Source organism: Homo sapiens, chromosome 19 (assembly GCF_000001405.40).
Source record: "Homo sapiens chromosome 19, GRCh38.p14 Primary Assembly".
NCBI classification, from domain to species: domain Eukaryota; kingdom Metazoa; phylum Chordata; class Mammalia; order Primates; family Hominidae; genus Homo; species Homo sapiens.
In genome coordinates this window covers 37,361,506-37,370,815 of record NC_000019.10, presented here as the reverse complement: position 1 = coordinate 37,370,815, position 9,310 = coordinate 37,361,506, and the positions used below count along the sequence as shown (strand labels likewise).

General features: G+C 44.8%; 1 protein-coding gene across 69 annotated transcripts in view, besides 3 other annotated features; it reads right to left on the bottom strand.

The window, feature by feature from the left end:
* Positions 138-187: an enhancer, noted in NCBI's record as "active region_14545". NCBI's record gives its function as "activates an Ori minimal core promoter by ATAC-STARR-seq in GM12878 lymphoblastoid cells {active_cell/tissue: GM12878}" and the evidence as "EXISTENCE:reporter gene assay evidence [ECO:0000049][PMID:35858748]".
* Positions 208-347: an enhancer, noted in NCBI's record as "active region_14544". NCBI's record gives its function as "activates an Ori minimal core promoter by ATAC-STARR-seq in GM12878 lymphoblastoid cells {active_cell/tissue: GM12878}" and the evidence as "EXISTENCE:reporter gene assay evidence [ECO:0000049][PMID:35858748]".
* Positions 5,182-5,382: a silencer, noted in NCBI's record as "peak3463 fragment used in MPRA reporter construct". NCBI's record gives its function as "represses an SCP1 promoter by STARR-seq MPRAs in K562 erythroleukemia cells {active_cell/tissue: K562}" and the evidence as "EXISTENCE:reporter gene assay evidence [ECO:0000049][PMID:32103011]".
* Positions 6,361-9,310, bottom strand: part of ZNF875 (zinc finger protein 875) — a 51,619-nt gene continuing 48,669 nt past the window's right edge. For 29 of the 69 annotated variants that reach the window (NR_138103.2, NR_138108.2, NR_138112.2 and 26 more), the window contains one exon: positions 6,369-8,707. Coding sequence is in view for 41 of the 69 variants with exons in the window: in NM_001329767.2 (NP_001316696.1) it covers positions 7,041-8,707 (1,667 nt within the window). In the remaining 28 variants the exon portion in view is untranslated. Of the gene's footprint in view, positions 8,711-9,310 lie in introns of all 69 variants that reach the window. The other 40 variants (NR_138110.2, NR_138107.2, NR_138121.2 and 37 more) reach the window with 3 other exon arrangements.

Below are 9,310 nucleotides of genomic sequence, written 5' to 3'. Positions count from 1 at the left end.
TATGCTTGCCGACGAAAGGAGCGGCGGATTTTGTCAGTGCAGGGAGCTTCTGTATTTTAAATCACGTCCCGTGATTGTGGGTAGCTGAATGTGAAAGTGATTGTGGATGAAAGAGACTGTGGCTGACATTGGGGGTGACCGTTTCTGTTACTGTGAGGATACCACTGATCCGATGTGTATCTGACTGTCTCCTGGTCTTACTGTTCCTTCACCCCCATCTCCTGCCATGGGCGGGGTCTGTGGTATCTTTTATTGAGGCAATCTCGGCGCTCACTGCAACCTCCGCCTCCCGGGTTCAAGCGATTCTCTTGCCTCAGCCTCCTGAGGAGCTGGGATTACAGGCACCTGCCACCACGCCCAGCTAATTTTTGTATTTTTAGTAGGGATGGGGTTTCACCATGTTGGCCAGGATGGTCTTCATCTCCTGAACTTGTGATCCACCTGCCTCGGCCTCCCCAAGTGCTGGGGTTACAGGCATGAGCCATCGCACCCGGCCTATTTTATTATTATTATTATTTCTCAATTGGTCAAAATAATATATTTAACATTTTAATATTATTAAACATACAAAAGGCCACACTTTGGCCCTCCTCTAGTCAAGCAGTTTCCTTCCTGGTGAAAGTCCATAGGCAGAAACATGCCTGCAAAGATCTCACAACCTTCTTTCAGACCATGCTCTGGGTATCCAAATCCCCAGGATTTCCTGTTCAAATGGACTCCAGCCTGCTTCCAGAGCCTGTATCTCCTCTGTGTCCAAAGACCCTTCCCTTGATCTGTCTTCCAAAGGTGGAATGTGCTGCCTATCCACAAAATGTGGCCAAATGAGAGCAATTTGGTAAGGCTAGACAGAGCTTAGATATGCAAGCTGGAGTGTCCACATGTGGGAATAGAAGACCTCTTACGATGTGGGACAAGGATGGCAGTGGGAACAGAAGGGGACTGGCTGGGGACCTCCATCTGTACTGTTGACCCAGGTCTCTACATGTCAATGACAGGCTCATTTATGTATAAACTATTTTGGAGACCAATGGTCTTATGATGATGGTGGTTTGAATTAGGGTCATCACTGGAAGAGGCAATGAGAAATTGTCAGATTGGGATACAGTTTGAGTGTAGAACTAACAGAAGTTGCTGATGCTTGGTTGTGAATATAGGGAAAGAGAGAAGTTCAATATAATGCCTAAATGTCTTGAGCCCCTGGAAAAATGGTAGTGTTATTTACTAAGATAGGGGAAAATGAGTATGTGGCAGTTATCTAGGATGGGGTGGGTGGTGAGGTATCATGTTAAGTCGCAGATGCTTGTTGGATTTCAAAAGAGTGATATCAAGTAGGCATTTAGATATATGTGTGTGGAGCTCAGTGAAATGTTGGTACTAGAGATACGAATTTGGGAATTTCAATTAAGATGCTTTTAATAGGAAGTTATACAGTTATATGCTCAACTGAAAGTAGCTTATACAGTAAAGATATTTATTTCCCCACTTAGCAAGAAGTTCAGTTGGCTTAGCAGGTGACCAATTGTAGCAAGAATCCTTCCTCCTGCTCTGCAGTCCTCAATGTATTGGCAGTGTTGCTTTATGTGGTTGCAAGGTAGCTGCAGCAGCTCAGGTCCTCACACAATGTCTTCATTCTGTGTCTAGTTCCAGAATGAAATACTTTTGTTTTTCATTCTTTCGGGTCTCTTTTTTTTTTTTTTTTTTTTTTTTGAGACAGAGTCTTGCTTGCTCTGTTGCCCAGGCTGGAGTGCAGTGGTGCAATCTCGGCTCACCGCAACCTCCACCTCCCGGGTTCAAGTGACTCTCCTGCCTCAGCCCCCGAGTAGCTGGGGTTACAGGTGTGCGCCACCATGCCCGGCTAATTTTTGTATTTTTAGTAGAGACGAGGTTTTGTCATGTTGGCCAGACTGGTCTCGAACTCCTGACCCCAAGTGATCCGCCCGCCTCAGCCTCCCAAAGGGCTGGGATTACAAGCATGAGCCACTGTGCCTGGCCCCCAAACATTATCTGACCACACTTAGATAACCACTGTTACATAATAATTAGAATTAAATGAAATAGCTATTTAAAAACTTACTTAGATCAGGCGTGGTGGCTCAGGCCTGTAATCCCAGCACTCTGGGAGGCCGAGGCAGGTGGATCACCTGAAGTCAGGACTCGAGACCAGCCTAGCCAACATGGGGAAACCCTGTCTCTACTAAAAATACAAAAATTAGCTGGGCATGGTGGTATGCACCTGTAATTCTAGCTACTCAGGAGGCTGAGGCAGGAGAATCAGTTGAACCTGGAAGGCGGAAGTTGTGGTGAGCCAAGATCGCACCACTGCACTCCAGCCTGGGTGACAGAGTGCGACTCCATCTCAATAAAAATAAATAAAAATTTAAAAATAAATAAACAAATAAAAACTTACTATGACCTCTTTTAAAATTGAACATTTTAATGGTGACCCTAACAGACTTGTGGATTTGAGGTGATATTGTCTCATACTGTTTACCATCTGTTCTTCAAAATTTTCTTTGTGTAGTGTAGTCTACTACTTACCGTGAGAATGGTAGGATGGACAGTGGTTACTCTGGGACAGGTTTCTGTTGGTTTTAAACATCTAGAGCTGTCATCTCAGGATGGGAAAGATAAAGCACTAGTGAATGGCTTTCTAGACAGACTGGAAAATCATCAAAACACCAGACTCAGAAGAAGCCACATAACTGAATACTTTGTGGTGCTTGCCTCCTAATCAGGTTCCAAATTTGCACACAGATTTTAGTACCAGGCCAGGCCCAGGTGGACAGCTCAGGTTATCTGCCTCAATTTTCTCTCCTGAGAGGTTCTGAGCAGAGGGCCTAATGTGAGTTTAACAATCAACACGGTTGGGGCTGGGGCTGGGCCAAAGGATAGAATGTAGCCTTCTACCCCTTTCTTACAATTCCTGTTCTCTTTGCGTGGCTCCATAGAAACCATATCCTGGGGTTTGTATCTTTTTAAATATATTTAAGTCTTCAGGTAGCATCTGTTCTATTTTTTGCTAAGAATTTTTAACAATTTAAGACAAAATCTTAGTTATATGGATGAATTAAATTGAAAGCTGTATACTATCACACTGTTCTTTATTATTATTTTTGAGACAGTCTCACTCTGTCGCCCAGGCTGGAATGCAGTGGCCAATCTCAGCTCACTGCAATCTCCGCCTCCTGGGCTCAAGCGATTCTCCTCCTGAGTAGTGGGTATTACAGCCATGCACCATCACGGCCTGGCTAATTTCTGTATTTTTAGTAGAGATGGGGTTTCACCATGTTGTCCAGGCTGGTCTCGAACTCCTGGCCTCAAGTGATCCACACGCCCCAGTCTCCCAAAATGTTGGGATTACAGGTGTGATCTACCACACCCAGCCACACTGGTCTTTAAATAAAATAAAAATAAATTGAAAGCTGTGATATTCTTTCTAAAAGTTAAACACAAAAAGAACATGTTTAACTTTGAAATCGTTTTGTGACACAATTTTATGGAAGAGAATAATTAAATTCTAAGACTCTAGGGGATTAAAACTCAATAGTTTTTAAACTATTATAAAATAGTTTATCTCAAAAAGTTTTTTTTTTTTTTTTTTTGAGATGGAGTCTCGCTCTGTTACCCAAGCTGGAGTGCAGTGGTGTGATCTCAGCTCACAGTAACCCCCGCCTCCCAGGTTCAAGCGATTCTCCCGCCTCAGCCTCCTGAGTAGCTGGGACTAGAGGTACCCACCACCACGCTTGGCTAATTTTTGTATTTTTAGTAGAGATGGGGTTTCACCATATTGGCCAGGCTGGCCTCAAACTCCTGACCTTGTGATCTGCCTGCCTTGGCCTCCCAAAGTGCTGGGATTACAGGTGTGAGACACTGTACCCGGCCTCAAAGTATTTTTCTGTTAAGAAGTATGAAAGCCAGCCCATGAATTGCCATGGGGGAGGGCTGGGAAAAGCCAGCCATGCCAAGTACTCCACCTAGGATAATACTTCATAATTTTTTACCAGATCTTCTAACTCTACTCACTCACTTAGATGTTGAACAAAAATTAAGATCCTAACATCTCTTACCATTTTGGACAGTGATGCCCTAACTGTAACTCCTTTGGATAAACAAATAAATCTACATTTATTTTTTCCCTAAATTGATAGCCAACAACACAAACACTGAATCTTACGATTGCCATTTTCACGCTGATTTGAAATCCTGCTTTATCGCATTCAAAATGCTCATATATGGATGGGTTTGTTTTTCTGTTTTTTAAAATATGGTTCTAAAGAGCTATTCTAAAAACTTATATATGAACAAGACATGTTACTATATAGTTTCTATATTTTCCTAATGATTCTTGGAAATTTTATTTTCCAAATAAAATTCAGAATCATTCAGTCTAGTTCCATGAAAAAAAACAAAAAACAAACAAACTGGGACCTAACCTAGTATTTAAAGTTAATTTGTTGAACACTGCCATTAAAAAATATATGTTCCCAACCAGAAGAATGGTACATTTTACAATGGTTGGAAATATTTAAACTCAAGAATTACCTGTAGGATGTTGTTTGGTAATTCAAAGGAGAATAGAAATTAATTTCATTTTCTATTTCTGCATATTGTGTGTTTTATAAATAAAACAACAATACACTTCTAGTCTAAATACATCAGTCAATAAAAATATCTTCAATGTGGATTCAACCCAGAAACCAGACAAAACCCCAAAAGGCTTAAGCAAAGTTATTTTTAAAAATGGACCTCTTCCTAAAACCTAGAGCTAGGATACTTGCAGTCACCTAGATATAATAAAACCCTCTTCTACCCATGGACTATCCCTGTCTCCATGAATTAACCATTCCCCAAACTCTCCCCTGAGGCTGACTCTGTGGGGTCATGGTCTGGGGAACACATAGTAAATCAGCCACGGTGTCTTCCAAGTCTCTTGTTCCCAGTTAGGACAGATGGACATCAAAAGACAAGCTCTAGTATTGTTGTCTTGAGGCAGAAATTAGAGAAAGAAGAAAATAAAATTTAAAAAGAGAAAAATAAGCTTTCCATACTAGGCTGACTCATCCTAAAGGCGGTAGCAGGCAAAGCCTGGACCCAGGCGAGGTCTCGATAACATTATCAAAGAAGCAAAGGCTTGAAGGAATGTGCTCTGGAGACTCTCCCAGCACTCCCTCAACATAAGGATAAGAAAAAGTAAAGATCCCCCTCGAATCCCACCTCCCTCCGTGTGATTGTACCTTGCTCTGCAAGTTTTATGAGGTTATAGATTCCTGTTTTCTGTAACTAGTTAACTTCAAGTATTCTGTTTTATCTAAGCAGCACAGTGAAAGTTTTAAGACATGCCTGAGGCAGGCCTGGGCTGCAGCCATCTGGGCACCATAGCAAAGGTTATGAGATAAGCCCATGCAAGGCTCTTTTGAGCAAGCCTAGATAACAGCCATCTGGGCTGCATAAGCAAGGGTCATATGTAATCCTGAGTTATACACCTGTCACAATTTGATTAACTGCCTTTGCTCTGCCTCTGTATCCTGGCTTTTGCACCACTACGTTTTGCACCACTGTAAGCTTGTTTCAAGTTAGCCCACCCACTTTGAGAAGTGTGTATAAAAGTCAAATGCTGTCTTTGTTCTGGGCCCAGTTTTTGGATGTTAATCCTCTGGGTCTGAGTGCACTCAATAAATCCTCCTGTCGGCTGGGCGCGGTGGCTCATGCCTGTAATCCCAGCACTTTGGGAGGCTGAGGCGGGCGGATCATGAGGTCAGGAGATCGAGACCATCCTGGCTAACACAGTGAAACCCCATCTCTACTAAAAATACAAAAAATTAGCCGGGTGAGGTGGCAGGCACTTGTAGTCCCAGCTCCTCGGGAGGCTGAGGCAGAAGAATGGCGTGAACCTGGGGGGCGGAGCCTGCAGTGAGCCGAGATCGCGCCACTGCACTCCAGCCTGGGTGACAGAGCGAGACTCTGTCTCAAAAAAATAAATAAATAAATCCTCCTGTCTCACCCCATGGTCTCTCTGGTCCTCCTTCATTCCCGCAATAGTTTCTGTAACATCCAGGGTACAGTGGAAGGAATGTTCCAGTGTACCTGTAAAATGACACTGGAATAGTATTCATTTCCTAATTTCAACCCATTTAAAAGTACTTTCTCCGTCAAGTTACTGACACAGGAATTTTCTCAGCCACATTGCCAACTGAGGACCTCCACAGCCAGCGACAGCCCTCTGCCTGGATCTCACTTAGCCCTGGGCCTGCTGCTGGAGGTGCCCTGCCCTCTTGGCCTGCCTGTATTATAGCTTATACCCATGTTTAGTGGTTCTGAGCGCTTGTCCTGAGTCCAAAAAGAATGAGGATACACTGACAATTGAAGGGTGAGGATGGGTAGAAAAGAATTTTATTGAGCAAAAGAACAGCTCTCAGTGGAGAGGGGATGCAGGGAGTGGTCCCCAACCCCCACAGCAGGGTGATTTCTCTCCTCACTGCAGCTGAGTCTGGGTCTTTTATGGGCTCAGAATAGGGGAATACACGTTGACTGATTTGTAAGTATGCAAAGGCACCACTCAAAAGGTGGGCACAGCAGTGTAAAAACCAATTAGGAAAGGGCAGGTATACGTAAAATAGGTGAAGGGTTGGGATCAATCGGAGGAAAGCACACCAAATGGGAAGACAGGTTCTCAATTCAGTATGAGGATTTAGCCGGGACTGTCTTCAGCTTTAAGGTTGGGTTTCACCAGGTACCCACCCCTATCTGCCTGGGCATTTGACTGCCTCCTGCCACTATCATTACCTGACCGGGTTTCCACAACCCACCATCCACAGTGAGGAAGGGCAGGGCTCCTGAAAATGAGCCAGCAATTCTCCTTCAGGTGGATGGAGATACAAGTCTTACCAGTACAGTCTCATGCATAATCACACACAGAATGTCTCCACTTTGGTATCTAGCAATGGCTGAAAAAGCCACAGCACTGTGTGTGTCCTCTGGTGTCTGATGAAGTATGACTCCTGGCTAAAGGCTGTACCACATTCCCTATACACATAAAGTTTCTATCCTGAGTGTGTCCTCTGATGTCTGATAAGGTTGGACTTCCGACTAAAGCCCCGTCCACACTTTCTGCAAATATAAGGCTTCTCTCCTGAATGTGTCCTCTGGTGTCTAATGAGGTGTGACTGCCGGCTAAAGCCTTGCCCACACTCCCTGCACACATGAGGCTTCCCCCCTGCGTGTGCTCTCTGGTGTTTAATGAGAGTTAACTTAGCACAAAAGCCTTGCCCACACTCCCTGCACACAAAGGCACCTGAGTGTGCCCTCTTGTGCCTAAACAGGTTAGGCTTCTGCCGAAACCTTCTGCCACACTCCCTGCACATAAAAGGCTTTTCCCCTGAATGTGTCCTCTGGTGTGAAATGAGGGTGGACTTATCATTAAAGCCTCGTCCACACTCAGCACATACAAATGGCTTCTCCCCTGAGTGTGTCCTCTGGTGCGTGCTCAGGGTTGATTTCCGGGTAAAGCCTCGCCCACACTCCGTACATACAAATGGCTTCTCCCCCGTGTGTGACCTCTGGTGTTTGTTAAGGTTTGACTTCAGGCTAAAGCACTGCCCGCACTCCAGGCAGACATAAGGTTTAACCCCTGAGTGTGTCCTCTGGTGTGTTTTGAGGTTTGATTTCCAGCTAAAGTGACGCCCACATTCTGTGCATACATAAGGCTTCTCTCCTGTGTGTGTCCTTAAGTGTCTGATGAGGTGTGACTTCTGGCTAAAGCCTTGCTCACACTCCCTGCAAATGTAAGGCTTCTCTCCTGAATGTGTCCTCTTGTGTCTGACCAGGTGTGAATGCTGGCGAAAGCCACGCCCACATTCCCTGCAAACATAAGGCTTCTCCCCAGTGTGCGCCCTCTGGTGGGTAATGAGGTTTGACTTCAGGCTAAAGCTCTGCCCACATTCCTTGCACACATAAGGCTTGAGCCCTGAGTGTGTCCGCTGATGTGTAAAGAGGTTCGACTTCCAAGTAAAGCCTCGTCCACAATCCTTGCACACATAAGGTTTCTCCCCTGAGTGTGTCCTCTGATGTGTGATCAGGTTTGACTTCCACGTAAAGCCTCGCCCACATTCCCTGCACACATAAGGCTTTCCCCCAGAGTGTGTCCTTGGGTTTTTGATGAGGACTGACATACTGCCAAAGCTGTCTCCCCACTCAGTGTACATGTAAGGTGTCTCCCCAGTTTGTGTCTTCTGGAGGCTAAGGAGGTTTGACTCCTTGATAAAGCCTGGCCCAAACTCTTCATATTTGATTTCTCCAAATCCTGAGACTTCTAAACCATGCAATACTTTGTCTGTTTCCTCTAGATCTGCCCTCCGTTCAGGGCTGGACCCTATATCCACCACTGTGTTGTCTTCCTTGGACTGTGCTGGCTGTTGTTCTTCAGGTGGGCTGGAAAGTGCCTTTGAAGTGCCATTTTTGCTTACTCTCCCAAACAGGAGTCTGGAGTCTTCTCCCTCTTGAATCCATTCTGCTTTGCCACTAAAGCAGAATGGATCCTGCTGTTGTTTCTGATCTTCTGGATAGTGTTTTCCCAGGTGGAGAGGATTTCCTGCCCATAAACTTGAAAACAGCTGAGAGAGATGACTCAGCCACACATGTTGGCTGAGAGCTTGCTGACTGGAGAAAATCAGAGGGCAGGAGGGACTAAGTTGAATTTCTGGCTTCGATTCTGCTGAAGAAAGAACATTTTCAGAGGGGCCATAGGTAGGGCTGTGTAGGCAATTTTGCCTTGCCCACTGGTCATTCATAATATATTTACATATTTACATCACAAGCTATCTCCCAGTTAGACATCCTTCCCAGCATCTATTTTTCATTTCACTTCATGCATTACACTTTCTTTTGTTTTTTTGTTTTTTTTTTTAAACGGAGTCTTTCTTTCACCCAAGCTGGAGTGCAGTGGTGCGATCTCAGCTCACTGCAACCTCCGCCTCCAGGGTTCAAGCGATTCTCCTGCCTTAGCCTCCCGAGTAGCTGGGATTACAGGCGTCCAAGACTACGCCCAGCTAATTTTTGTATTTTTAGTAGAGACAGAGTTTTACCGTGTTTGCCAGGCTGGTCTTGAACTCCTGACCTCAGGTCAGCCTAAGCCTCCCAAAGTGCTGGGATTACAGGCATAAGCCACTGTGTCTAGCCCTATGCATTACATTTTCTATTGCAGGAGTTGGCAAACTCACCTGACAGGCCAAATCCAGCCTGAAACCTGTTTCTGTATGGCCTGCCAGCTAAAAATGGTTTTTACCTTTTTAAGGGGTTGAATTCAAAAGAGGGA